This window comes from Homo sapiens, chromosome 17, assembly GCF_000001405.40.
Source record: "Homo sapiens chromosome 17, GRCh38.p14 Primary Assembly".
NCBI lineage: Eukaryota > Metazoa > Chordata > Mammalia > Primates > Hominidae > Homo > Homo sapiens.
The window spans coordinates 75,879,451-75,906,647 of NC_000017.11; the positions used below are offsets into that span (position 1 = coordinate 75,879,451).

The following is a 27,197-nucleotide window of genomic DNA, read 5'->3' on the forward strand; positions in this document are numbered from 1 at the left end:
ATGTAGTTCTGGCCCCTGGACACTGGGGACACCTGTGGTGGGGTTGGGGGTTCCCCAACTGGAAGTATTTAAAGCTCATCTAATTATGCACTTAAAGTGGTGCGTTTTATTGTATGAGTTATATCTCAATAATGTTAAGTTAAAACACTACACCAGAATGACAACAAAATAAGTAAAGTAGCACTGATTATAACCCAAAGTGTAAAATAAACATCTATGAGTCCATGCCGATATAAATAAATAATAAATTAACAAGCTGGGGAGAACAGACATATTTCGCATTGAAAATTCCAAATAATGTTTTTTTATTTTTATTTTTTTAGATGGAGTTTCGCTCTTGTCGCCCAGGCTGGAGTGCAGTGGCGCAATCTCAGCTCACTGCAACCTCTGTCTCCTGGGTTCAAGCGATTCTCCCTCCTCGGACTCTTGAGTAGCTGGGATTACAGGCGCCCGCCACCACATTTGGCTAATTTTTGTATTTTTAGTAGAGACGGGGTTTCACCATGTTGGCCAAGCTGGTCTCGAACTGCTGACTTCAGGTGATCCACCCGCCTCGGCCTCCCAAAGTGCTGGGATTACAGACATGAGCCACCGCACCCAGAGATATCTGTAATTTTGGTTAGTGACAAAGTCACAGGTAACTGCTCATACCACTCTGGTGTATTCTCTCCATTTGGAATAGAAAGAAATGCTGTGTTTCAGTAAGGTGCTGCAGCGTGGCTTCCTTCTGCAGGATCTGAGGGAGACTCTGTCCTGGGCGTCTGTCCCAGCTTCTGGTACTGGCTGGCAATTCTTGGCGTTCCTTGGCTTGTAGCTGTAAGATGCGCTCTAATATCAGTCTCTGTTGTCATTTGCCTTTTCTCTGTGTCTGTGTTCAAATGTCCTTTTTTTTTTTTTTTTTAGGGAGTCTTGCTCTGTTGCCCACTCAAACTGCTGGGCTCGAGTAATCTGCCTGCCTCAGCCTCCCAAAGTGCTAGGATTACAGGCGTGAGCCACTGTGCCCGGTGCCCATTTCCTCTTATCAGGACACCAGTTGTTGGATTAGGGCACGCTCTACTCCAGTATGCCCTCATCTTAACTCAGTCACATCTGAAAATACTCTATTTCCAAATAAGGTCACAGCCACAGGTCCTGGGGGTTAGGATCCGAATACGTCTTTTTCAGGGAACAGGATTCAACCTATAACAGTGCATAAGTAAGGAAATGTTGGAGAGAGGCCCAGGCCCAAATGTGCTAGAGGTCATGCATGTCCCCCGGTGTTCCTGGCCCTCTCTGTGTTCCAGGACCCTGGCCCTTCCCTAAACCTCAGCACACACTGCTGCTTGTCCCACACCCAAACCCTTGTCCACCTCTCCCACCGGGTCTGCATTCCTGCCTCTGTTTCCCCAGCTCTCTAGGCTTGGGGGGTGGGAAAATACCCTCAGGTCCCCTGAGACCAGACTAGAAATGTTCAGAAGGCACTTCATGAGTTCAGAGCTAAAGAGGAGAAAACACAAGCAAAAGAGCACAAATGTGCCGGGTGTGGTGGCTCACGCCTGGAATCCCAGGACTTTGGGAGGCTGAGGCGGGCGGATCACTTGAGGTCACGAGTTCCAGACCAGCCTGGTTAACATGGCGAAACCCCATCTCTACTAAAAATACAAAAAAATTAGCCGGGCGTGGTGGTGCACACACTTGTATTCCCAGCTACTCGGGAGTCTGAGGCAGGAGAATCGCTTGAACCAAGGAGGCAGAGGTTGTGCCACTGTACTCTCCAGCCTCGGTGACACAGCGAGACTCCATCTCAAAAAAAAAAAAAAAAAAAAAAGAAAAGAAAAGAAGAAAGAAAGAAGGAGGGACCCAGCCTCTTGGGGAGGGAGCTGGCTCTCCAGGCACTCAGGAACCCCTGTCTTAGTGTGTCTGGGCTGCTATCCCAGAACACCAGAGACTGGGTGGCTTATACACAACAGACACTCCTCACAGTTCTGGAGGCTGGAAGTCTGCGATCACGGTGACAGCACAGTCAGGGTTCCAGTGAGAGCTGCTTCCTGGGTTGTAGATGGCTGCCTTCCCACTGTGTCCTCACATGGCCAAGAGACAGCCAGAGAGCCTTTGGGGCCCCTTGGACAAGGGCACTCATGCCATGAATGAGGCTCCGCCCACCTGAAGACCCCACCTCCTAGGACCATCACCTTAGGGGTCAGGATCTCAACACATCAATTCTGAGGGTACACACACATTCAGACTGTTGCAACTCCAAGTGCCAAAAGAGCGGTGCAATCTGCTCCTGGGGGCTCCATGGGAAAGGCTGGGGAACTGTGGAAGTGGCATTTGAGCTGGGCTTTCACAGACTGCCAGGACTCAGGCGGGCAGAGACTGGGGTGGGAAAAGACCTTCCGGGCAGAGGGAGTAGCAGAGGGAGCCGGCCTGGGTGTGTCTGATTTGGCAGGAGGGTGGGTAATGAGTTCCATACATTGGTTTCCACCAAGAGCACTAGAGCACTTGATCAGGACTATCACTTGTTTGCCAAGCCCCAGGAGCGGTTGGGAGGCCCAGGCATCAGTGCCACCCTGCTCCGTGGCTTTGGTGCCCAGGCTGCCTGGGTTTGGTGAGGCCACAAACCTGCCTGGTTCTGGAAGGAGGGGGTGCCTTTCCGGTTGGGTCCCAGCCAACCCTCTGCTCCCCACCCACAGCCTGCTGTCCTCCCTGCTTGAAAAGATCTGCTCCCCAGGAGGAAAGCACAGAGATGCGGTTTGTCAGTGTGGTGGCATCTTGCTACTTCTTTTCTTTTTTTTTCAAATGGAGTCTCGCTCTGTCGCCCAGGCTGGAGTTCAGTGGCGCAATCTCATCTCACTGCAACCTCCACCTTCTGGGTTCAAGCGATTCTCCTGCTTCAGCCTCCCCAGTAGCTGGGATTACAGGCATGCATCACCACGCTCGGCTAAATTTTGTATTTTTTAGTGGCGATGGGGTTTCACCATGTTGGCCAGGCTGGTCTCAAACCCCTGACCTCAGGTGATCTGCCTGCCTCGGCCTCCCAAAGTGCTGGGATTACAGACGTGAGCCACCGCGCCCAGCCTGGCATCTTGCTATTTCATTTCCATTTCCAGAGTTTTGAAGTTGTTTGCCTAGTGTATTAGTTCACTTCAAAATGAATTGTCTAAGAGTCAAGGGCAAGGGTAACTGGCACCATGTGAGCTCAGCATGTTCACACCTGCCCTCATTCTGTCTGTCCAAGGACCCTATCCTAAAGGATGGCAACTGGAATTCCGATAGGTACCATGTCTTGCCAGAGGTCACATAACTTGTCCTGCAGAGGAAGCAGAATTTAAGCTCAAGAGGTTGCAGCTTGAATAATTATAAATCTCACATATGACTGTCTGGCTGTAGTAGTAGTGCTTGAGAAAAAAAGGAAAAAAATCAAACAAAAACAAGTGGCTGGGTGTGGTGGTTCACGCCTATAATCCTGGGACTTTGGGAGCCAAGGCACGAGGACTTGAGCTCAGGAGTTTGAGACCAGCCTGGGCAACACATTAAGACCCTGTCTCTGGAAAAAAAAAAAACAAAAACAAAAAGCAATCCGGTGATGACAGTAATTGAAAAGCTATTTCTAGCTTTTCTTCTGTCTCTGAAAATTATTGAAAGGGGATCCAAACACCATGTCCCTAACAGCACTTCCTTTTCTTTATGCTTTTTTTTTTTTTTTTAGACAGAGTCTCACTCTTTCCCCCAGCTGGAGTGCAGTGGCTTACTCTCGGCTCACTGCAACTGCCGCCTCCTGGGTTCAAGCCATCCTCGTGCCTCAGCCTCCAGAGCAGCTGGGACTATAGGCGTGCACTACCACGACCAGCTAATTTTTGTATTTTTAGTAGAGAGGGGGCTTCACCATGTTGACCAGGCTGGTCTTGAACTCCTGACCACAGGTGAGCCACCCACTCTGGCCTCCCAAATTGCTGGGACTACAGGCAAGAGCCACGGTGCCTAGCCTTCTTTATGCTTTTGATGTACTTTTTTGTTTTATTTTGTTTTTTGGTTAAAAAGCTTTTTTGTTTTTCTGTTTGTTTCATTGTCTTTTTTTCTCACTGTCTCTGAACAAGTTTTTTTTTTTTTTTTTTTGAGACGGAGTCTCGCTCTGTCGCCCAGGCTGGAGTGCAGTGGCGCCATCTTGGCTCACTGCAAGCTCCACCTCCCGGGTTCATCCCATTCTCCTGCCTCAGCCTCCCGAGTAGCTGGGACTACAGGTGCCTGCCACCACGCCTGGCTAATTTTTTGTATTTTTAGTGGAGAGGGGGTTTCACCGTGTTAGCCAGCATGGTCTTGATCTCCTGACCTTGTGATCCACCCGCCTCGGCCTCCCAAAGTGCTGGGATTACAGGCGTGAGCCACCGCGCCTGGCTTTTTATGTATTTTTAAACATTTGGTTTGTATGAATGTCAAATGAATATATTTATATTATTTAAAAAGTAAACAGGCCAGGTGCGGTGGCTCATCTGTGACGAGGAGTTTGAGACCAGCCTGGCCAACATGGCAAATCCCTCTGTCTACTAAAAATACAAAAATTAGCCAGGCATGGTAGTGCATGCCTGTAGTCCCAGCTACTCAGGAGGCTGAGGCAGGAGAATTGCTTGAACCCAGGAGGGAGAGGTTGCAATGAGCCGAGATTGGGCCACTGCACTCCAGCCTGAGTGACAGTGAGACTCCATCTCAAAAAATAAATAAATAAATAGATAGATAGTAAACAATTTAGGTCAGGCGCGGTGGCTCGCGCCTGTAATCCCAGCACTTTGGGAGGCCGAGGCGGGCGGGTCACCTGAGGTGGGGAGTTCAGGACCAGCCTAACCAACATGGAGAAACCCCATCTGTACTAAAAATACAAAAAATTAGCCGGGCGTGGTGGCACATGCCTGTAATCCCAGCTACTCCGGAGGCTGAAGCAGGAGAATCGCTTGAACCCAGGAGGCAGAAGTTGCAGTGAGCCGAGATCATGCCATTGCACTCCAGCCTGGGCAACAAGAGCGAAACTCCGTCTCAAAAAAAAAAGTAAACAATTTAACAAGGCTTATAACAAAAACTAGTAATGTTGTGTCCCACTGACTCCCCATGGACAACCAATCTCAAGTCTTGTAATGATTTCTTTTAGCGTCTGCCTCCACATCTCTAAGCCGTTTAAGGTTCCTTCTTGCTCTCCTTTTTTGTTTTTCTTTTTTGAGACAGGGTCTCACTCTGTTGCCCAGGCTGGAGTTCAGTGGCACAATCACAGCTTACTGCAGCCTCAACATCCCGGGCTCAGGTGATCCTCCTGCCTTAGCCTCCCAGGAAGCTGGGACCACAGGCGCACGCCACCATGCCAGGCTAATTTTTGTATTTTTTGTAGATATGGGTTTTCACCATATACGTGGTTTTCAGGACCACGCTGGTCCTGAACTCCTGGGCTCATGTAATCCGCCCATCACAGCCTCCCAAAGTGTTGGGATTACAGGTGTGAGCCACCTCGCCCCACTTGAGTTCCTTTTTTTTTTTTTTTTGAGACAGAGTCTTGCTCTGTGACCCAGGCGGGAGTGCAGTGGTGCAATCTTGGCTCACTGCAACCTCTGCCTCCCGGGTTAAAGCGATTCTTCTGCCTCAGCCTCAGCTGGGACTATAGGTGCCCACCACACCCAGCTAATTTTTGTATTTTTAGTAGAGACGGGGTTTCACCATATTGGCCAGGTTGGTCTCGAACTCCTGACCTCGTGATCCACCTGCCTCGGCCTCCCAAAGTGCTGGGATTACAGGCGTGAGCCACTGTGTCCAGCCCCAGGTTCCCTTTTTTAACTCAAGACATTGCTAAGCCTTGTGTAACTTTTTAATTTTTAAATATTTATTTATTTAGTTAAAGAAAGGGTCTTGTTCTGTCACCCAGGCTGGTGAGATCACAGCTCACTACAGCCTTAACATCCTGGGCTCCAGCAATCCTCCCAGTTCAGCCTCCCAAGTAGCTGGGACCACAGGTGTGCACCACCATGGCCAACTAATTTTTGTATTTTTGGTAGAGAGGTGTGTTACCACATTTCCTAGGGAGGTTTGCAGCCTCCCGAAGTGCTGCGATTGCAGGCGGGAGCCACCGCGCCCAGCCAGCTTGTTTGTGCTCATGTTTCTGGAGACTGCAGATGCTTGATTACTTCTCCTTTGTGTTGAATTCCCCGTTTCCTGGATCCCAGACCTCCCTTTTCCCTTCACTGATTTACTTCTTCATTTTTGAAAAGTCTGCCCTCTGGGTGCTTCCTGAGGATGGAGGCTGACGTGTCTGCAAGTGTCTCTGTTCGGGCTTCATCCCTGACTGACAGTTTGGCTGGGCATGGAATCCTAGGATGGAAATCCAGTCCCCCAGGATCTCAAGGGCTGGCTCCATTGTCTTCTACCTTCCAGCTTGATGCTACTCAAAGCCTCAGTTCCAGGCAGCGTCCTGCTCCTATCCTGCCTGGAAAGGCACATCCCCTTGTTCTCTTTACCCTTCACCTCTGATATGGTTTGGCTGTGTCCCCACCCAAATCTTATCTTGAATCCCAGCTCCCATGATCCCCACGTGTCGTGGGAGGGACTTGGTGGGAGGTAATTGAATCATGGGGGCTGGTTTTTCCCATGCTGTTCTCATGGTAATGAATAAGTCTCACGAGATCTGATGGTTTCATAAAGGGCAGTTCGCCTGCACACGCTTTCCTTGCCTGCCTGCCACCATATGAGACATGCCTTTGCTCCTCCTTCGCTTTCTACCATGATTGTGAGGCCTCCCCAGGCATGTGAAACTGTGAGTCCATTAAACCTCTTTCCTGGCTAGGCGCGGTGGCTCACACCTGTAATCCCAGCACTTTGGGAGGCCGAGGCGGGCGGATCACGAGGTCAGGAGATCGAGACCATCCTGGCTAACGTGGTGAAACCCCGTCTCTACTAAAAATACAAAAAACTAGCCGGGCGTGGTGGCGGGCACCTGTAGTCCCAGCTACTCAGGAGGCTGAGGCAGGAGAATGGCGTGAACCCAGGAGGTGGAGCTTGCAGTGAGCCGAGATTGTGCCACTGAACTCTAGCCTGGGTGACAGAGCGAGACTCCGTTTCAAAAAAAAAAAAAAAAAAAAACCAAAAACGTCTTTCCTTTATAAATTGCCCAGTCTCAGGTATGTCTTTATTAGCGCACAAAAACAGACTAATACACCTCTCTGGCCTCCAATCCAACTCCCTCCAATCCAGCTGGCCTGTGAGGTCCCTGTCTTTCACAACCTCTCCTGCCCTTGTTCTGTCTCTGGGTGACCATCCACCTGATTGTGCACAACTGAAGCCCAGAATCTGTAAGGGGGTCTGGTGGGTAGGCCAGACATGCTGGAAACACCCACAAGCTAATCAAACACGTCCCCTTTCCAAATGTCACATCCCAACTCTGTGCTGCCTTTTCCCTCGATACCAGCGTGCGTTTTCCTGGAGAGACGGTGGAGAGTTCTATCAGAATCAGTTCGGCTGGCTGGGCATGGATCACTTGAAGCTAGGAGTTCAGGACCAGCCTGGGCAACACAGTGAGAACCCCATTCTTGACAAGAAATTTAAAAATTAGCTGGGCGAGGTGGTATGCGACTGTAGTTCCAGCTACTCAGGAGGCTGAGGCAGGAGGAGGAAGGATCACTTGAGCCCGGGAGGCAGAGGTTGCATCCTGCCCTTGCACTCCAGCCAGGGTGACAGAGTGAGGCCCCATCTCTTAAAAAAAAAAAAAAAAAAAAGAAGAGAAAAAGCAAAAAGAAAAAAAAAGCAATGGCTCACACCTGCAATCCCAGGTGTGGATCCCTTTGGGAGGCTGAGGCAGGCAGATGACATGGGTCAGGAGTTTGAGACCAGCCTGGCCAAACTGGTGAAACCATGACTCTACTAAAAATACAAAAATTAGCTGGGTGTGGTGGTGGGCGCCTATAATCCAAGCTACTCGGGAGGCTGAGGCAGGAGAATCACTTGAATGTGGAAGGCAGGGGTTGCACTGAGCTGAGATTGCTCCACTGCACTCCAGCCTGGGCAACAGAGTGCAACCCTGTCTCAAAAACAAAACAAATTAGCTGGGCATGGTGGCGGGTGCCTGTAGTCCTAGCTACTCTGGGGGCTGAGACAGGAGAATGGCATGAACCCAGGAGGCAGAGGTTGCAGTGAGCCAAGACTGTACCACCGCACTCTAGCCTGGGTGACAGAGTGAGACTCCGTCTCAAAAAAAAAAAAAAAAAAGAAAAAAAGATAAAGGGTGGGAGTCTCTGAGCCTATGTTGACTTGGGAGGCTGTCCATTAGGAAGAAAAGAGGGGGGCCGGACATGGCGACTCACGCCTGTAATCCCAGCACTTTGGGAGGCCCAGGCGGGTGGATCACGAGGTCAAGAGTTTGAGACCAATCTGACCAACATGGTGAAACCCCATCTCTACTAAAAATACAAAAATTACGCCGGGCGTGGTGGCTCACGCCTGTAATCCCAGCACTTTGAGAGGCCAAGGTGGGTGGATCACAAGGTCAGGAGATCGAGATCATCCTGGCTAACACGGTGAAACCCTGTCTCTACTAAAAAATACAAAAAGTTAGCTGGGCGTGGTGGCAGGTGCCTGTAGTCCCAGCTACTTGGGAGGCTGAGGCAGGAGAATGGTGTGAACCCAGGAGGCAGAGCTTGCAGTGAGCCGAGATTGAGCCACTGCACTCCAGCCTGGGCAACAGAGTGAGACTCTGTCTCAAAAAATATATAAATAAATAAATAAATAAATAAATAAATAAATAAATATTAGTCGGGTGTGGTGGTGTGCGCTTATAATCCCAGCTACTCGGGAGGCTGAGGCAGGAAGATCGCTTGAACCCGGGAGGCGGAGCTTGCAGTGAGCTGAGATCACGCTATTGTACTCCAGCCTGGGCGACAGAGCAAGACTCTGTCTCAAAAAAAAAAAAGAAAGAAAGAAAAAGGGGTTATTATTAATAATATAGAACACGCTCGCAGAATATAGAAAGAACCACCACCCAATAGGAAGATGAATTTCACATAATAAATGACCCCAAACACCTCCCACCTCAGAAGCAGAAAGGGGCCAACTCTTCCTCTCTCTGCCCCTTTCAGAGCGCGGCTCAGCCCGTTGGGTGCTTCTGCTGCAGCCTTGGATTAGGAGGGACTATGAGGTGGGGACAGCAATGACAGCCATCTGGCCAGGCCAATACATCCTGCCTGGCTGGGCTTTCAGCTCCCACCATTGCCCCTAGCTGGTCAGCAAGGTCCTGCCCGCCTCCTGGCTGTGGGGCTGCACATGTCAGATTCCCTTCCCATGTCTGGGGAGCTCCCACCTGAGGATCTTGCTGGAAAGTCCTTGCCTGGGCTGTGCCAATCCAAGGCCCTGCCCTGCTCTTGAACAAACAGCCACAGGCTAGGAGCAGGGCCACAAGATGGAGGCTGCAATGACGGCAGTGATCGGGGTGGGGTCGTCGTGGGAGGTTTTTTTTTTTTACAAATATAAAAACATTATATATATTGGGGGTATGTATATTACACGTATTATCCTTTTAAAAAGTTTTATTGTGAAATATTTATCCATGAGTACATATAACATAGATGTCCAGTTTTTCAAGTTACAAAAAGCAGACAGCCCTCCCTTTTTTTTTTTTTTTTTGAGACAGAGTCTCGCTCTGTCACCCAGGCTGTAGTCCAGTGGTGCAATCTCAGCTCACTGCAACCTCACCTCCTGGGTTCAAGCGATTCTTCTGCCTCAGCCTCCCCAGTAGCTGGGATTACAGGCGCACACCACCATGCCCGGCTAATTTTTGTATTTTTAGTAGAGACGGGGTTTTGCCTTGTTGGCCAGGCTGGTCTCGAACTCCTGACCTTGTGATCCGCCTGCCTCGGCCTCCCAAAGTGCTGGGATTACAAGCGTGAGCCACTGCGCCTGGCCAAAAGCAGACACCCTTGGAACCACCTCCCAGAACAAGAAGTGGAACATTTCAAGTAAAAAAAATTACACCTGCCCTATGACCCAGCAACCCCACTTCCGGAAATACAAGCAAAATCATGCCCAGGGGTCTTCGTGGCAGCTTGCTCTGCAATGGCAAACACCACACCAAACCAGGAGGAGCTAGCCTGTGCCGACACCTGCACACACGGCTGCCCCAAAGTCCCACACCCAGGGGTGGGATGCTGGAGATGAAGGTCCTGCCAGTGTCACGTGCTGCTTAGTGACAGGGTTGAGGGGCCTTAGTCGGCTTGACTCAAGGTGGCCTCACTGTGGCCTTTTGTATAAAAAAATCTTCAAGTGCTCATTGTTCCCTGAGTGACTCACTTGAGGTAACAGCCTACATACATGACCATAAATGTGGCCAAACATCCCACTCAGAAATATTCATCATAAGCCAGGCGTGGTGGCATACACCTGTAATCCCAGCTACTCAGGAGGCTGAGGTAGGAGAATCCCATGAGCCCATGACCGCACCCCTGCACACCAGCCTGGGTGACAGATGGAGATCCTGTCTCAAAAAAAACACATCAATGTTTGTATAGCTAAAAAGAAAGAAATTTAAATGTCCAATAATGGATAAATAAACTTGATAGTCATTAGAATGACTACAGCAATCAGTGAAAATTTTCAATCATGTGAAAAATGCTTATGTTAAGTCAGGAAACTTCAGAAAACACTGTAATCTGAGCTACTCTGGAGGCTGAGGTGGGAGGATCCTTTGAGCTCAGGAGCTCGAGGCTGCAGTGAGCCATGATTGTGCCACTGTACTCCAGCCTGAGTGACAGAGCAAGACCATCTCCTAAAAACACAAAAATGTTTAAATGCAGAAAACAAAATTGTTTGTAGAATACAATTATAAGGATGCACAAAATAAAAAGACTACAAGACAGGACGGACGTCTCTCCAAATGTTACAAAAAATTAAAGAGAGCTGCAGGCGGGGAGGAGGGAGGAATCTGTCTCCCCCTGGGACTACTCTGGCTCACCGCCCCTCCCTGACTGCTCCTTTGGCCCTTATCATCTCCAGAGGCAAGTTCAGGTAGATCTGAATTTTGTCACACACGCTGTCCTGTAAGCCCAGAAGTCCCCTGGGCACTGCTCTCGCCTCCCAGGCCCAGACAGTACCTAGAACTGGGTTCTCTCTGGGGCAAGGGCATCCCATTTATCCCCCTCCTAGACTGTGTCCCCTTCAAAAAGGCTGCAACAGTGAACTCTGCGTTTATGCTCACCTCCCCCAACCTCCCATCTCTTTCTGAGTTAACAGAGAGGCCAACAGCTGGTCCTCCAGTCCCCAAGCTGAAGCTGGGCAGCTCTTGGGCACATAGGCATGGTGGCAGCTATGCCAGGGCTCCATCCCATGCCTTCTTCAGCTGAGCACCTCTTCCTGGGGCCCCAGAGGGAACACAGCCCCTGGCTGATGGCACAGGGTCAGGGTCCTACCCTCGAGGAGCCAGAAGACGGGGGTGAGGGGCTGGTTGAAGAGGGCATGGAAGGTGTACAGGGGCTGGGTCTGGGGCTCCAGGCTGTAGAAGGTGAGGCAGCCTGAGGCCAGGTCCAAATCCATGCCCAGGAGCCGCCCTGACACCCCTGGGAGGCGCTGGGCTTCCCCGTTGTGCCAGGCCTGGAGGCTGTCCTCCTGGACGCAGAGCCCCCAGGAGCAGGGTCCCCGGCCAATGTTGTCTGTGTGGGGCCCCAGCCTGCACCGTGGCAGTTGCGGGTAGGAGACGCCCAGTGTCACCGAGTGGTCTGACGCGCGCACCTCCCAGTAGTGGTGCCCGGCCTGGAAGCTCTGGGCACATTGCACCTGCCAGAGCTCAAAGCTGCCGGGCCCGCCTGGGCCCCGGGACTGACGACAGTGCTTCACCTGCTGGTCCTGGCGCGACAGATAGAAGTGACGGTTGGCGCTGACTGGATCAAAGGTCAGATTGCGATAATCTGTTGGGGAAAGGAGGACAGCAGTGGGCTGGGGGAAGACAGCACAACCAGATCTCCATTTATCCGCTGCTAAACCTCCGCCAGGCACGCTGAGCACCGGCCGTCACCATAGCACTTAATCCTCGCCACGACCTCGCAGGCGGAATCCTCTATCAGCCCCGTTCACAGCTGAGAAAACTGGGGCTCTGAGAGCCATTAACTCAGTGTTAAGTGGAAGAATTACGGGTCTGTGCCCCAGACTCTGTCCTTCAACGCACACTGGCTGCGTCTGCTTCAGGGTGGATGTGCACGAGGTGTGCAGCGGGTGGGACCAGGCTCAGATGTCCCGGCAGGACAGTCAAAACAAGTGCCCCCCTCACTCACACGTGCATACGAACATGCACACACACACGTGCTCACAGCACACACAGGCACTTCCTTGCACACGCACACACAGGGGCACACATACACGAACGGCCTCCTTACTCTGCCAGAGTTTCCTCCTCAGTGGACAAACTGTGCTTGGGACCGGTGCCAGGGGACCTGGGGCCTCTAGGGGGCAAAGCAGTGTTAAGGGAATGGTTGGAGAGGTCACGATGTGTGGGCCCTGACCCGCCTCCACCCCCCCAGCGGGAGGGGCAGCTGGACCCAGGACAGCAGGGGGAGGCCTGGGGTCAGTCTTACCCACGGGGGCTAAGTCCACAGGCTTGGCTGGTGCCCCAGGGTGGCTCCCCTCTTCCAAGAGGAGGCCACACAGCCGGCTTAGCAACTGCTTCAGGTCACCCAGCTGTTGGTCTTCATCCCACTGCAGAGGGGTCAGTGGCCCAAGAGGCCCTGGGGGCTGGAGGAGCTGCGATTCCTGAGCCCCAGGGAGAACAAGTAAGCCTGGGCCTGAGGGGCAGGGAAGCAAGTCCGCCACCTATGCCCTGAGCCCTCGCACCTGCAGGAAGGTCTGCTCATCCACCTGCTCCAGGAGCTCCCGGATCCTGCAGCCATGGCGAGCCACAGCCTCCAAATGGACCCGCAGCCGCTGCTCCTCGTCTCGAGCCTGTGCCAGCGCCTGCGTCTTGGCCACCTCGATGCTCCTCAGTGCTGTCGTGTGCTGTATTTCCAGGGCCTGTAGCAGGCTGCTGAACTTGCCGGAGACCCAGGAGGCCAAGATGCAGGCCGAGTTCTGGGCGGGAACAGGAGGGGCTTCAGGGTGGCCAGGGCCCTGTGCCATACCAAGGGAGGCTAGGGCCAGGGCTGCCTGCTGGGCTGAGGGTCAGGGATGTGGGGAGGCAGGGTCCCGGGAACCTCCCCAGGACCCCTGTGCCCAGCTCCCTGCTCAGCCCCGCTCCCTGCTGCCTGGTGTTCCAGGGACCAGCTGGTGGCCGCCCCAGGATGCAGTGTGAGGCCATGGTGGGCGGGCAGGCACAGGCCTCGTACCTGGATCTGGCTGCTTTGCTTGCGCAGCTCTAGTAGCTGGCCTTCGGCCTGGGTGGCCTGCTGCTGGGTAACCTCCAGGCTGGCTCTCAGCTGGGCCTGTGGTGCGGGCCCACGGGACAAGCAACAAGAGAAGGCCAGGATTGGCTGTGATGTCCTTTCTCAGACAACCAACCATGCCTGCAGACACCAGGCAGCCCCTCCCCACGCCACCCCAGGCCAGCCTCCAGAGCACCGGCCTCGGTCTAACCCAGGGAGAGTTGGGGCCGTGCCCCGGGGGGGTCCAGACAAAGTCCTTCCTAATCTGCAGCAGGGTGGTGCCTGAGCAGAGCGGAAGCCTTGGGCTCAGGACCCAACTTCCATTCCCATTTCTACCTCTTGCATGCTGAGCAAGCTGAGGCCAAGCACCTGTCCTCTCTGGGCCTAACCCCCCACCCATCAATACAGGAAAGCGATAATGCTGGCTCAGGAGGCCTCGCAGGGAGGACCCCAAACACTAAAGCCGTTGGTCCCTGTCTCACTGCAGAGGGGTCAGTGGCCCAGGAGGCCCTGGGGCTTGAGAAGCTGACTGCAGGGACCTCCCAAAGCACCAAAGCTGTCTGACAAGTGGGCAGTTACTTGCTGGATAAACTAGATTCTTCTGGGGATCCGGCCAGTCCCTGGCCCTAGTTTTGAGACTGAGAGGGGAGGAAGGGACCCCTATTCGGTTGCGCTCCCTGAGTCCCTTGGGAATCAAAACACCGTGCTCTCATGAGAGCAGGACAAACCACGCAGGTCCCAGGGGCTCCATTCCCAGCACCTGGTCAAAAGCTTCACCACCTTGTTTCTGCTCCTCCCGCAATGCACTGAGATGGGGACCATTACTATCCCCACATCACAGAGGAGGAAACGGGCTCAGAGAAGTTGATAATTTGGTCAAAGTCCTCAGATCTTCCTAAGCCCAGAGCTCCTCCGGGCCCCCAGCCTCCAGCATTTCACACAGGAACACAGGAGGCCGGAGGGCAGGCTCTCCCAGGGCACCCAACCCTCCCCCAGGGACAGGCACCCCCATGTCCCTTTCCCTCTCTCTTGCAAAATCCTGGCTCCCCTGGTGCTACTGGCTGCCCCTGTCGCTCCCTTCCTCCACATGGCCCTCATCTACCGGCCTCCAACTCAAACTTCCGTGCCTAGCTCAGTCTTCTGCACCCGCCCATGAGCAGTACATCTCGTCTCATCCTCCTCGGCGGCTTCAGCAGCTACAAGGAATGTCCCGCAACACTCTGGAGCCCTTTTCCTTCACCTCATCTCAGCCGCTCCTGTGAACTCACCCTGGCCCTGTCACCAGCTCTAAAATCTCCATTCTAGGCATCGATTCTTCCTTCTCTGACCACTGCCTTCGTGCCCTCTCCTGTTCCAGCCACCTCTGTCTCAGTCCTCCCACCTCACCGACCCCCAGCCGTGCACTCTCCCATCCCTCCCTGCCCATCAGGCCTCCTGGCCACCCCTTCCCTTCCTGTCCCATCCAGCGTCCCTGCGCCATCCTCCATCCACGCCTTAGCCCCAGGCCTCCTCTGTCCCCGAATGATTCCACATCCTGTCTTCGCTGCTGAAATGGGTTTTGTCAAGGGCACGGACCACCTCCACAGTACCGATGCTGAAGGTCATTTCTGTCCTCGTACTGAGCCTCTGATCAGCATGGGCATCCTGCCCGTTCTCTTCCTGGCACCCCTGTCTCCAGGTGCCACACAGGGCTGCCATTCCCCCGACCTTCCCCATCTCCCTGGGAGCTCCAGCTTGGAACCTTCTCTTCCTCCTAGCGCTAATGATTCCCAGCTCTCGACTTCCAGCTCCCCGCTCCTGAGCTTTGGAGCTCACAGCAAGCTCCGCCTCCCGGGTTCACGCCATTCTCCAGCCTCAGCCACCAGAGGAGCTGGGACTACAGGCGCCCGCCACCAGGCCTGGCTAATTTTTTGTATTTTTAGTAGAGACAGGGTTTCACCATGTTAGCCAGGATGGTCTCAATCTCCTGACCTCGTGATCCACCGGCCTCCGCCTCCCAAAGTGCTGGGATTACAGGCGTGAGCCACTGCACCCGGTGGTGGCCAGGCTGCGGGGGGTCCGGCCCCCTCCTGCTCCTGGCGGCAGCACCCACTTGAGGAGGTGACCCTCACTCATGGTGCACAAGCTGCAAACACAACAGCCCTTGGTCTGGCAGAAGAGCTCCAGCAGCTGCCCGGGGCGGGGTCAGCGCGCGGCAGGGCTGGGGCCAGGGTCCCAGGTGCCACAGGCCCGTCCCCTGGTTTGTCCCACTGGCCACTGTGACCTCTATATGTCCAAGGCCAAACTCTGCCCTCCACCTACGCCTCTCAGGACATAGCACCCCAGCCACCTGCGTGCTCAAGACAGAAACCCAGGTGTCTCCCTTGCCGCCCTCTCTGCTGTCCCCCGTGTCCCCTCTGGCCTGCTTTCGCCTCCACAAGGTACCACTTCCCCTCAGCGTTTCTCATCTCCTCCTCCATCTTGGTCTCCCTTCCCTGATCCCCAGCTGGTTCTTTGCCTCCCTGCACTCCTACCCGATTCGGGTCTTACATCCTGCCCCCTTCAGCCCCCAGCCAGGTGATCAGTCTCCATGAAGCCCAAATCTGATCATGTGCCAACCTGCTTCCAAGCCTATAATGGCCCCCATGACCCTACAGTAAGAGCCAGACTCCCCCAGGACCCTGCCCGATCCTGCCCCTGCTGACCCCCAGGGCCTGGCCCACAGATCTCAGTGGCACAAATCTGCCACTAGGGACCCCGCGTGCCCAGTTCTTTCCCATCCCAGAGACGGGACCAGGCTGATTCCTCTGCCTAGAATGCTCTTCCCCAGGTCTTTCTCCTGGCTTGCGCTTCCTCAATCCTCACATGCCAGCCTGAAGGCGGCCTCCCCTTCCTCCTCCTGGCCCGTTTAGCAGGGTCACCCCAACCCCTCTATCACATGCCATGTGCTTTCCTCACTGCATTTTGTAATAATACATTCACGCCTTACTGGAACACTGACTTCTTAAGTGGATTCTAAGTCTCTTAAGGGCAGGGAGCTCGTCTGATCCATTTACCAACAGCCCCCATAGCCCCCTCGCCCTCCACAACCCCGCACAGCGAATGAAAGGAGGCTCTCGGAGCGCAGGAGACACACGACGGTTCTCTAGCGCTTGGGCACGGAGCAGGGAGCTGCTGCCTCACGCCCAGGCTTTGTTCATCCAGAGGGCACCGAGCAGCTTCTGAGACCCACCCTGTGTCACTGGCCGGGCTGCATATCCCAGTCTGATGCACAGACCCACGATTTTTTGTTTGTTTATTTTCTGAGACGGAGTCTCGCTCTGTCGCCCAGACTGGAGTGCAGTGGCACGATCTCGGCTTACTGCAAGCTCCACTTCCCGGGTTCACGCCATTCTCCTGCCTCAGCCTCCCGAGTAGATGGGACTACAGGCGCCCGCCACCACGCCCGGCTAACTTTTTGTATTTTTAGTAGAGACCGGGTTTCACCGTGTTAGCCAGGATGGTCTCGATCTCCTGACCTCGTGATCCGCCCGCCTCGGCCTCCCAAAGTGCTGGGATTACAGTCGTGAGCCACTGCGCCTGGCAGACCCACGACTTTTATAATCAGCTCCCAGGTTGGGAGAAGCCCCTTACAGATGAGGCTCCCCGCCCCCGCCGGGTGCCCGAGAGAGCAGGGCGCGGCCCGCAGGAGTCACCCGGCGGTGGCCAGGCTGCGGCGGGTCCGGACCCCTCCCGCTCCCGGCGGATGCGTCACCTCGCGCTTGAGGCGCTCGGCATCCAGCAGCGCCCGCTCGTGGAGGCGACACTCGCGCACGGTGCACACGCTGCACACACAGCGGCCCTCGGTCCGGCAGAAGAGCTCCAGCGGCCGCCCGTGGCGGGGGCAGCGCGCGGCAGGGTCGGGGCCGGGGCCGGGATCGGGGCCGGGATCCCGGGCGGGCCCGGCGCGCACCACCTCCAGCACGCCGCTGAGGGCCACGTTGCGGCGCAGCTCGGCGCCGTCGGGAAAGGGCTCCCGGCACTCGGGGCACGCCTTTCCGCAGCGGTCCCACCAGTCCCGGATGCAGGCCCCGCAGAAGTTGTGGCCGCAGGGCAGCGTCACTGGGTCCTGGTAGAGCCCCAGGCAGATGGCGCAGGTCAGCTTCTCCTCCAGCAGCTGCGCGGCCATGGCCCGGCGGCGGCGAGAGCCAGGCGGGCCCCGGGCGTCTTAAAGGGACCGCGGGCCTCGCGCGCTGAGGGCGCCTGGGCGTGGCTAACGCGGGGCGGGGCGAGATCCGGGCGGGGCGGGGCGAGATCCGCGCCCGGGAAGGCGGAGGGGGGCGGCAGGCCCTTCTCTGACACCCTCGACGAGCGACCGCCGCAGGGGCCTAGGCCACCCCTGCCCACCTCGGCCTGGCCCGCTCGAAGGTTCCGCGTTCCCGCCTTGCGCCCCTCCCTCCGTTAGGGTCCACGCCACCCCGGCTGAGAGCTGAGTTCGGCTCTCTAGGGTCCCAGCCTGGCGGGTCCATCCCACCCCCCTGGGCCTTCAGCCCAGGTCCTGGAGACCAGAGGCTCGAAAACCCCGCCAGGACTCCGGGCTTCTGACCACGGGCCGCGCGGAACCTCTTCTGGACTCATCTGCCAGTCGCCTAACAGCATAGACCCCCACCCCCAACAATCCCCCGGGGCTTGGCGATGAAACGGGCTGGCGGGCTCCCTGCAGACCCGAGCACTGCTGCACTTTTTCCTGGAGCTGGGTTTCGGACACTTGCCAGACTGGGGTGTCTCCCTTCTCTGGGCTACACGTAATTTTGGTTCTTTTAAAGTAAACAGCGAGATGGAAATGTCTGGTCACCAAGAGACAGGGACCAGTTAACTGGTATTTTTCAAATGGCCCTGAATGAATACACAAACCAGCTTTCATCTGCAATCAGCATCCCCTCTTCCTGCTGCCCTCCGCTGGGGAGAGTTCCTTGCCTGGGGTCCAAGCTGATCTGCAGCCTCAGTATTTACAGGCACTCCAGCATTTCCCCTGAAGCTGAGCAGGCAAGGCGGGTCTGGGGCCTAGCGCCCACCTACCTGACAGTGTGTATCAGGCCAGGGGGAACCCCAGGAGAGTACGGCCTTTCTAACCAAGCTGGGCTGATGTTGAGGCGGCACGAGCTCTCACTGCTGCAGCAAGCACTGCGTCCTCTGTGCGGCCATAGACGAAGTTTCTTTCTGGACAAAGTGCACGGATCTACCCTCCACCTACTAGTTAGCCAGACTTCTGCTTTTGGTAAGGGAGAAACAAAACACCTAACCATCCAGCCGCAAGACTCCATGGGTTTTCTGACCCTGAGCAGGTCTCTTGAGACACGCTGTTGCCTACCTAATGTGGCTTCTCCTCCCAAGCATGGGGTGGGGGCTGGAGCCTGTGCAGAGGGTCAGTGCTCGGGCAGGCACTCTCTCTCCAGGGGCCGGTGGGACCCCCCTGAGGCACAGAGCCAGTGCTCAATAAATGCTCCTTCCTGAGCCCAGCTGCTCTGCTCCACTTTTTCGGGGAGCTGGGTTTCAGGAACCTGCTGGATTGGGATGTCTCCCTTCCCTGGGCCACACCTGTTTTTGGCCCACTGCCTGCTTTTGCTTCGGATCCCAGGGCCCCTGACACCCTCAGAAGACGGAGGTGAGGACGCACTTAGTGGGGTGGGAGGCAGCCCGTTTCCCACCCATGAAGCTCCATCGGGGTCCTCTGGCCCTGGAGCACCGACCCAGGCCAGCTATGGCAGAAATCCCTTTTTTTAAAAAATACAGGCAGGGTCTCATTATATTGCCAGCTGGTCTTGAACTCCTGGGCTCAAGCGACCCTCCCTTCTCAGCCTCCCAGTGTTGGAATTACAGGTGTGAGCCACCAAGCCCGGCAAGAAATCATGTTTATTCACATTCCCCACCCCACCACCTGAGAGTCACTTTCACTCCAAGCCCTGGGCCTGACGGGAGGGGGCCAAAGAGGGGGGCTGCCTAAGGCAGGGCCCAGACCCCACAGTGTGGGCCTCTGGAGCTGTGTCTTTACTCTTGCTGCCGATCAATCCCATGCTCTGAAATGCGCACACTCTGGCTCCTTAGTAGATGCCATAGGTGGGCTCATGACTGTCCCTGTACCGGTCCAGGTAGCGCAGGGGCTGCCGGTGGGGGAAGCGCTTCTGCTTGGGGTGGTAAGGGGGCGGCCGCACGAACTCAAACACCGGCTCCCGCATGTCTGCAAGAAGAGTGAGGGGTACGGGGTGGTCTGCTGGCCTGCGCCCCCTCAGGCTGAGGCCTGCCCACCAGGGACCTGCCGCAGCCTTCCCCTAACAAAGCTTCTCCCTGGCAGGGCAGGCGAGGCCTGGGAGCTCAGGCCCACCCAGTGCCCCAGCCCCATGGCCCTTACCCAGAAGCTGGTGGAAGATGTAGGTGACGGAGTCATCCCAGCGGCACTGGAAGAAGGACAAGCCGGCTGGAGTCATGGTTTCTTGGTGTTTCTTGTAGAAATCAAAAGTGCGGAAGGTCCGCTGGGCCAGCTGATAGCTATGAGAAGATAGAGAGCGTATGAGAGTGTGGAGTGGGGCACCAGAGCCCCTCACCCCGCCACCCCAACAGGTAACCCTGAGAGGCCCCTGGGAGTCTGCTAGCACCCTATCCTGCTCTTCTGCCAGTCTCAAGGCTGAGGTCAAGAGAGAACTGAGCAAGAGTGACCGTTCCAGGGGAGCTGGCCTGAGGCCGGGTTATGTGTGGGTGGTGTAGATTACCAGGGTGAGGGGCGTGCGTCCTCAGAGAAGTCAATCGGCTGGTCCTGCTTGAAGAGCAGGAAGGCAAGACGGTGGATGCCGGAGCCTCGGGCAGGGAAGGGGGGGAGGTAGGGACACGTCACCTGTCCTTCAGCCACCCGGTTACCCGGGATGTTGGTTCTGGGAGGAGGAAAGTCCCGGTTAATTACCACTCCAGGGAGGCAGCAGGAGTGTCCCCTCAGCTCCATGCACACCCTAGAGGCTGACATGACTCCCTGGGAGGACAGCTCTAAGCATCTCTCTCCTGGGACAGAGGAGGCAGCCAAGCTCTGTGAACGCCGGGACATGCTGCAAATACGGGAAGCGGGCTGGAGGAGCTCCGAGTGGGGGACAGGGCTCCAGAGAGCATCAGCTTGACAGCAAGGCCATGCAGCCGCTTCCAGGCCCCGGGAGCCGGTGGGTCCGCCACAGTCACTGAGGCTAGAAAGCCAGGCCACTTTTGGCTGCTTTTCCCTCTGCGTCCTGAAGTCTCCAGGACCTCGTCAGGGAGTGTGTGCCCAGCCTGGCACAGGGGCGGCCAACGCCTCAGGCACAAATCCCCAGAGGGTCCTGCCGCATAGGCTGGTAACAGTTGAATAAAAATGACGGAAACCAGCCTCCCAGTCACTGTCCCCAGTTAACCAGAAGGCTCAAAGTTGGGGTCACTGGCCTGACCTCTGCCCCCTGGCCTGGTGTTCAGAGCCAAAAGCTACCAAGATGGAAGGCCGCCCAGTCTGGGCCCAGGGAAGGAGCGCCCAGTGGTTCAAGGAGCACCTGGGGGACGCCACAGCTGCTAGGCCTCTCCCGCTCCTTCTCCCACGTGACTGTCACAGTCCACCTCACGCTGAGTAAGGCATGTGGTGCCATTATCCCAGTTTTACAGGTGAAGAAATGAGTTTAGAGACGAAGGGCCCAGGCATGGTGGCTCACGCTTATAATCCTAGCACTTTGGGAGGCGGAGGCGGGCAGATCGCTTGAGCTCAGGAGACCAGCCTGGGCAACATGGTGAAACCCTGTCTCTATAAAAAAATACAAAAATTAGCTGGGTGTAGTGGTTTGCACCTGTAGTCCCAGCTACTCAGGAGACTGAGGTGGGAAGAGCACCTGAGCCCAGGAGTTAGCGGCTGCAATTAGCCATGATTGCACCACTGTACTCCAGCCTGGGGGACAGAGTGAGACCCTGTCTCAAAAAAAAAAAAAAAAAAGAAAAGAAAAGATGAGGAGGCTTGTGGGGACTGACCGAGGCCTACTGCAAACTTTGTCTCCTGTAGCTGTCTTCAAGTAGACACGTGGATCCCAGGGCCCCTAACACCCTCAGGAGGCAGAGGTGGCAGGTGAATTCAAGGTCCCATGGGTAGTCCATGAAACTCAGGAGCAGCTCAGTCCAGGCTCCCAGCTCCTCTTCCCGCCTGGGCAGCACCCCCTACCCCCAGTACTCCAGTACTCACAGCAGCCAGTGGAGGTACTCAGCATCTGGCTCCAGCAGGTGCCCATCTGCACAAAAACACACCTGCTGACCACGGCCCAGCCGACCACGGCCCTGCCACCCCCTCCCTTGTTAGGAGCCAGCGCTGGAGATCTCCACCTGGCCCCTCCCCCAGCCCCCCAGGGCCCTGGCTCATAGGAGGTGAGCGGGGCAGGAGGCCTGGTGAGCCCCAGACACCCACCCAAGCTAGTGAGTAGCAACGTCCACAAGGAGCCCTCTTCTGCCTCATAGGTCACCTCTGGCGCTTGGGCAGCCTGGCAGGGTGAGAAGGAAGCTGTCAGCCCCACCAGGGACAGGCCAGCTGTTGCAGGGAGCCTTGGAGAAAGGGGTGCCCACTCTGACCCAAAAGCCCTTGACAACCCCTGGCACAGGCAGGCAGGCAAAGGGATGCGTAGAGAAGCAGCCCTGCAGAGTTGCCTGTCCAGGCAACAACCACAAAAACGAACATGTGCCAAGGCCGGGCCAGGAGGGCACACCACAGACAGCAGGCTGGTCACAGGAATGTGCTAAGACAGAGCCTCTTTTTCCTTCATTTTGTTCTATTTTCTTTGAAATTGTCATGGTGTCGTCTTCCAGGAAATCAAAGAGACAGAGAACAACAAAATTCCAAACCCAGGAGTGTCTGTGACACTGAGATGGGATGTGTCTGTGTTTGCACAGGGCAGGGAGGAGGGGCACAAGTGAGTGGTTACCTCGGTTGGAGTCACCTCATTGCCACAGTACACAGGCATCAGGTCATCCTCACCCACAGCGTAGGCCACGTGCAGGGGGACTCGGGGCACAAAGGTGGCACCGTGGAACAGGTCTCGGTAGAGGCCGTAATACTCAGCCAGACGCTGCTTGTGGTAGGGGCCACAGGTCCTCTCCCACTCGGCCCGCACGGCATCCAGCGGGACACTGGCTAGACAGGAATAAGGCCAGTTGGGATACGGGGGTGGGGGGGGCAGGGACACACCCTGTACCCCAACTCTGGGATGGCCCCTCCCCTGAGAAGGCTTACCTGTGCGGAGGCGGGCAGCCCGCTCCTCTTCCACATTGGCCCGAAGCTCCTGGATGGCCTGTTTCCGTTCCAGTAGCTGTTGGGTCCGGGAGACTTTGGGTGGAGGCAGCCCAATATCAATCTTCTCTTTGGGATCTGGAGTGGGAAGATGTGTGGGAAAAACAGGGTCATGACTCACTGCAGCCTTAACCTCCCCAACTCAGTCTCCTGAGTAGCTGGGGCTACAAGTGTACACCATCTCATCTGGCTAATTTTTGTATTTTTTGTAGAGACAGGGTTTTGCCACATTGCCCAGGCTGGTATGAACTCTTGGGCTCAAGTGATCTGCCTGCCTCAGCCTCCCACAGTGTTGGGATTACAGTAGTGTGAGCCACTGCGCCCAGCCATGGTAGCTAATTTAAAAAATCTGAGAGATGGGATCTCATTATGTTGCTCAGGCTGGTCTCAAAACTCCTGGTCTCAAGTGATCCTCCTGCCTCAGCCTCCTAAGTAGCTGGGATTATAGGCGCAAGCCACTGCACCCAGTGAGGGGGCGGGCACATCTTCTTGGTTAAACTGCCTGTCCCTACCTAGTCCTCTCATTCTGTGCTTCAAGCTCTGCTGCTCAAGCTTTCCCTGTGATTCACAGAATTAAAACATACTGTGCAGTCTACTTCCCAGACCTGAATAGGATGTAACTGGGAAGCAAATCAGATACAACTTGAGGTTGTGTTTTTCTTTGAGACAGAATCTCACTCTCTCGCCCAGGCTGGAGTGCAGTGGCGCGATCTCGGCACACTGCAACCTCTGCCTCCCGGGTTCAAGCAATTCTCCTGTCTCAGCCTTCTGAGTAGCTGGGATTACAGGCGCCTGCCACCATGCCCGACTAATTTTTTTTGTATTTTTAGTAGAGACGGGGTTTCACCATGTTGGCTAGGCTGGAGGCTGTGTTTTTCTGATCCCCAAACCAGGTCACAGTTTTGTCTAGGTCATGGGAAACTGAAGTCAATGGTCCTTCCAATTATAGTTGAGATCACCTCCAAGCCTGTTCACAGGTGGCTATGAACACCCAGCTGTCCTAGGTAGAGTGAATGACTGATGCTAGAAGGACTTATAGAAGTGCTTCTCGGCCAGGTGCTATGGCTCACGCCTGTAATCCCAACACTTTGGGAGGCTGAGGCAGGGGGATCACTTGAGGTCAGGAGTTTCAGACCAGCTTGGGCAATATGGTGAAACCCCATCTCTACTAAAAATACAAAAATTAGCTGGGCGTGGTGGCGCATGCCTGTAGTGTCAGCTACTTTGGAGGCAGAAGCAGGAAAATCGCTTGAACCCAGGAGGCAGAGGTTGCAGTGAGTCATCGCACCACTGCACTCCAGCCTGGGCAACAGAGCGAGCCTCTGCCTTAAAACAAAACAAAACAAAATAATAATAACGAAAACATACTGAGCCCTCATCAGAGATGGCATTAGGCAAAAATGCCAATGAATTGCCTCTTTTAATCCTCACAGCAATTTTGTAGCAAAGACACAATTATTTTATTTTACAGTTGAAACAAGCTCAAGGACATTATCCGAGAGGCTGAGCTAGGATTTAAATCGGGCTATTTAGATTCCACGCTTGTGCCTTTAACCACCACAAAACTGCCTCTATAAATGCTAAAGAAAAGAAAAGAAAAGAAAAGCATATACTCCATAAATTGTAAGTTCCTTAAAGGTTGGGGTCTTTTTTTTTTTTTCTTTTTGAGACGGAGTTTCGCTCTTGTTGCCCAGGCTGGTGTGCAATGGCGCGATCTCGGCTCACCGCAACCTCTGCCTCCTGGGTTCAAGCGATTCTCCTGCCTCAGAGGCCTCCCGAGTAGCTGGGATTACAGGCATGCGACACCACGCCCAGTTAATTTTGTATTTTTAGCAGACACGGGGTTTCTCCATGTTGGTCAGGCTGGTCTCGAACTCCCGACCTCAGGTGATCCGCCCGCCTAGGCCTCCCAAAGTGCTGGGATTACAGGCGTGAGCCACCGCGCCCGGCCAGGTTGGGTTCTTTTTTGAGTCACCCTGCCCAGGCCTTTAATTTCATTCAGCAAAGTATTGCACATGTACATCCTTGCACTGTTCGGGTGCAAGGATCCAATGGAGGGCAAGACAAGCAGGATCCCTGTCAACAGGGCGCTTACAATCTGGGGAGAGGCAGCGCACAGTCAGAATGCAGTGTGGCCAGAGTTACCTACAGAGTATTTGAGGCGCACAGAACGGCATCCCAATCCGGAAAGTCAGGTGGTCAAGATTTTAGGAGCAAATATTTTAGGAGCTGGAACTCTAATAGTAGGGGGAGCGAATTTTCCAAGAATGAGGTGCAGAAGGTGTGAAAAATCCTGGGGTGATTAAGCTGCCGATAGCGCACACAGGTCTGCAGGCAGGCCCTCCCAGCGTCCCCAGCATCCACAAGGGCGCCGGCAAGGCTCGCCCAGCGCCCGGGGAAAACGCCGGCGGGTCCCGAGTTCCCCGGGCGGTGGCTGCAGCCCCTGCTCCAGTCGCCCCGCACCTGTCTTCTCCCCGAAATACTCTCGGTAGGTCCGCCACCAGTGCGGGGCCTGCGCCTCCTGCTCTGCTCGGCGCCGGTAGCGGTCGAAGCTCCGGTACTTCTCCAGCCGCTCCAGGTTGCTCAAGTCGATGTCACTGTTGGGCATCGGCCCCAGCGGGGGTGTCCGGCGGCCCAGGACGGCTGCGGGCAGAGAGAAGACGTAAGGCCGGCGCCCCACAGCTCGGGCGACAGCCCCCCCCCCCCCCCCCGCAGAGCTGCCCACCCCTCACCCGAGGTGCTGAAGCCCCGCCATCTCCGACACTCGCACAGCGCGGCTCGCCACCAGGGCGCCGCCATCTTCCCTCCGGCCTGCGACACTGCGGCCGCCACTAGGACCCGGGCACAGGTGGCCAGCGCGGTGCCTGAGCGCACCACAGCAGGCCCCGCCCCTAGGCCCGCCCCCGGGCCCGCGCTGCGGAGCAGGCCTCAGACGCCTGTCCCGGAGGCCCCTGCACCGTCTGCCTCGGGCGCAGGTGGAAGGTGGCCGCGGTCTGTAGACGCCCGGCTCCGGAAGTGCCCGTTGGACGGCGGGGCGGAGCCGAGAGCAGTCATATGCTCGCCCATGGCTGGCCACCAGGGGGCGGCACAGACCGGGGTCGGCCGCCGGGGCCCTCCTCCAACCCCTGGACGCTGCGTCCTGATTTCCCCAGGGACGCAGGCCTGGTTGGGAGAAGGGGTGCGAGCTCCGATTCCGGACTCTGCTTGGGTTTAAAACCCAGATTGAGGGCTGGGCGCGGTGGCTCACGCCGGGAATCCCAGCACTTTGGGAGGCCAAGGCGGGTGGATCACGAAGTCAGGAGATCGAGACCATCCTGGCCAACACGGTGAAAACCCGTCTCTACTCAAAATACAAAAATTAGCCGGGCGTGGCATACGCCTGTAATCCCAGCTACTCGGGAGGCTGAGGGAGGAGACTCGCTTGAACCTGGGAGGCAGAGGCGGAGGCTGCAGTGAGCCGAGATCGCGCCACTGCACTCCAGCATGGGCGACAAAAGTGAAAACTCTATTTCAATAATAATAATAATAATAAAATAATAGTAATAAAAACCCAGATTGTGGCTGGGCGCGGTGGCTCATACCTGTAATCCCAGCACTTTGGGAGGCCGAGGTGGGCGGATCATCTGAGGTAATTAGTTTGAGACCAGCCCTACGAACATGGCAAAACCCTAAAGATACAAAAATTTTTGTATCTCTACTAATGATACAAAAATTAGCCGGGCGTGGTGGCAGGCGCCTGTAATCCCAGCTACTCAGGAGGCTATGGCACAAGAATTAACTTGAACCCGGGAGGCAGAAGCTGCAGTGAGACGAGATTGCGCCACCACCTCGGTGCCAGAGTGAGACACCGTCTCAAAATGCCCCTCCCCCCCCCCAAAAAAAAACCAGATCGTGACCTTACTGTCTTCCTTGTGGTTTCCTCATTTGGGAAAAAGCAGGTTAACACTAGTGCTTACCTGACAGCTGTCAGGATGAAAAGATTACCCTCTGGAAAGCGCTCGCAGTGGTTTGTGTGTTAGCTCAACTATCTCCAACTTCTCATTATCCACACAAAGGCAGAAGTGACCTGGTTAAGTGCAGATGTGAATGTTTCTGGCAGGACTCAGGCTTGCCCTTGTGATCCAGTTCTACCATGGCAAAACTTGGTAGCCTGGGGAATCTGGGACCCTCCTTTGCCCCAGCCCTGGCCCTCCTGCCCTAAAAGGCAAGACTTTTCCATCGCACTTTGCCTCCAGGCCACGGGGCCTTTGTATACGCTGTGTCTTCTGCCTCTCACCTCCTCACTGCCCCACCTTGGCCTGGCCACCACCCAGCCCCAGGAGAGGGGTCTCTCCAGGAAGCCTGCTCTGACATCCCAGGCCAGGGCTGGTGGTGACCAGGCCAGTGGCTCTGGCACCAGCAGAAGCTTGACCCTCACAATCACTTTGAGATGGAATGAGAATGGAATGAGGGTCTCTCCATCCAGCAGGAAGTGGCCACACCTTCCACTGGTTTTCATAAACAGCAGCCAAACAGCTAAACCTTTCACAGTCATTTCTAATCCACCCAGCAGTGTGCACCTGCTACATGCT

General features: G+C 55.5%; 2 protein-coding genes across 17 annotated transcripts, besides 8 other annotated features; both read right to left on the bottom strand.

Moving 5' to 3' along the window:
- Positions 1 to 86: 86 nt before the first annotated feature.
- On the bottom strand, positions 87 to 17,501 carry TRIM65 (tripartite motif containing 65). 16 transcript variants are annotated; one of them, XM_047435583.1, is made up of 7 exons: positions 17,074 to 17,501; positions 13,305 to 13,400; positions 12,817 to 13,050; positions 12,561 to 12,735; positions 12,363 to 12,428; positions 11,827 to 11,897; positions 87 to 1,179 (listed from the first exon to the last, which is right to left on the bottom strand). In XM_047435583.1, exons 1-7 carry the CDS (start codon positions 17,485 to 17,487, stop codon positions 1,117 to 1,119), a joined length of 1,119 nt encoding a protein of 372 aa, XP_047291539.1. In that variant the 5' UTR covers positions 17,488 to 17,501; the 3' UTR covers positions 87 to 1,116. The 16 variants fall into 16 exon arrangements, 15 of the variants coding, with proteins under 15 accessions (XP_047291539.1, XP_011522801.1, XP_047291540.1 ...); XM_011524499.3 differs by having other exon boundaries at positions 12,817 to 13,089; XM_011524500.3 differs by lacking the exon at positions 87 to 1,179 and adding an exon at positions 3,055 to 3,289 and having other exon boundaries at positions 12,817 to 13,089.
- Positions 16,771 to 17,340: a silencer, noted in NCBI's record as "silent region_8993". NCBI's record gives its function as "represses an Ori minimal core promoter by ATAC-STARR-seq in GM12878 lymphoblastoid cells {active_cell/tissue: GM12878}" and the evidence as "EXISTENCE:reporter gene assay evidence [ECO:0000049][PMID:35858748]".
- Positions 16,771 to 17,927: a biological region, named in NCBI's record as "H3K27ac-H3K4me1 hESC enhancer GRCh37_chr17:73892749-73893458".
- Positions 17,218 to 17,927: an enhancer, noted in NCBI's record as "H3K27ac-H3K4me1 hESC enhancer chr17:73892749-73893458 (GRCh37/hg19 assembly coordinates)". NCBI's record gives its function as "activates a minimal SCP1, AML or CMV promoter by ChIP-STARR-seq in naive and primed H9 embryonic stem cells {active_cell/tissue: H9 hESC(naive and primed)}" and the evidence as "EXISTENCE:reporter gene assay evidence [ECO:0000049][PMID:30033119]".
- Positions 17,371 to 17,850: a silencer, noted in NCBI's record as "silent region_8994". NCBI's record gives its function as "represses an Ori minimal core promoter by ATAC-STARR-seq in GM12878 lymphoblastoid cells {active_cell/tissue: GM12878}" and the evidence as "EXISTENCE:reporter gene assay evidence [ECO:0000049][PMID:35858748]".
- Positions 17,928 to 18,635: an enhancer, noted in NCBI's record as "H3K27ac-H3K4me1 hESC enhancer chr17:73893459-73894166 (GRCh37/hg19 assembly coordinates)". NCBI's record gives its function as "activates a minimal SCP1, AML or CMV promoter by ChIP-STARR-seq in naive and primed H9 embryonic stem cells {active_cell/tissue: H9 hESC(naive and primed)}" and the evidence as "EXISTENCE:reporter gene assay evidence [ECO:0000049][PMID:30033119]".
- Positions 19,194 to 25,434, bottom strand: MRPL38 (mitochondrial ribosomal protein L38). The gene is made up of 9 exons (NM_032478.4): positions 25,359 to 25,434; positions 25,090 to 25,269; positions 22,570 to 22,704; positions 22,262 to 22,470; positions 21,751 to 21,823; positions 21,532 to 21,577; positions 20,066 to 20,224; positions 19,708 to 19,844; positions 19,194 to 19,536 (listed from the first exon to the last, which is right to left on the bottom strand). The coding sequence occupies exons 1-9, from the start codon at positions 25,423 to 25,425 to the stop codon at positions 19,400 to 19,402; spliced, it is 1,143 nt and encodes a 380-aa protein (NP_115867.2). The 5' UTR covers positions 25,426 to 25,434; the 3' UTR covers positions 19,194 to 19,399.
- Positions 25,230 to 25,279: a silencer, noted in NCBI's record as "silent region_8995". NCBI's record gives its function as "represses an Ori minimal core promoter by ATAC-STARR-seq in GM12878 lymphoblastoid cells {active_cell/tissue: GM12878}" and the evidence as "EXISTENCE:reporter gene assay evidence [ECO:0000049][PMID:35858748]".
- Positions 25,300 to 25,349: a silencer, noted in NCBI's record as "silent region_8996". NCBI's record gives its function as "represses an Ori minimal core promoter by ATAC-STARR-seq in GM12878 lymphoblastoid cells {active_cell/tissue: GM12878}" and the evidence as "EXISTENCE:reporter gene assay evidence [ECO:0000049][PMID:35858748]".
- Positions 25,360 to 25,839: a silencer, noted in NCBI's record as "silent region_8997". NCBI's record gives its function as "represses an Ori minimal core promoter by ATAC-STARR-seq in GM12878 lymphoblastoid cells {active_cell/tissue: GM12878}" and the evidence as "EXISTENCE:reporter gene assay evidence [ECO:0000049][PMID:35858748]".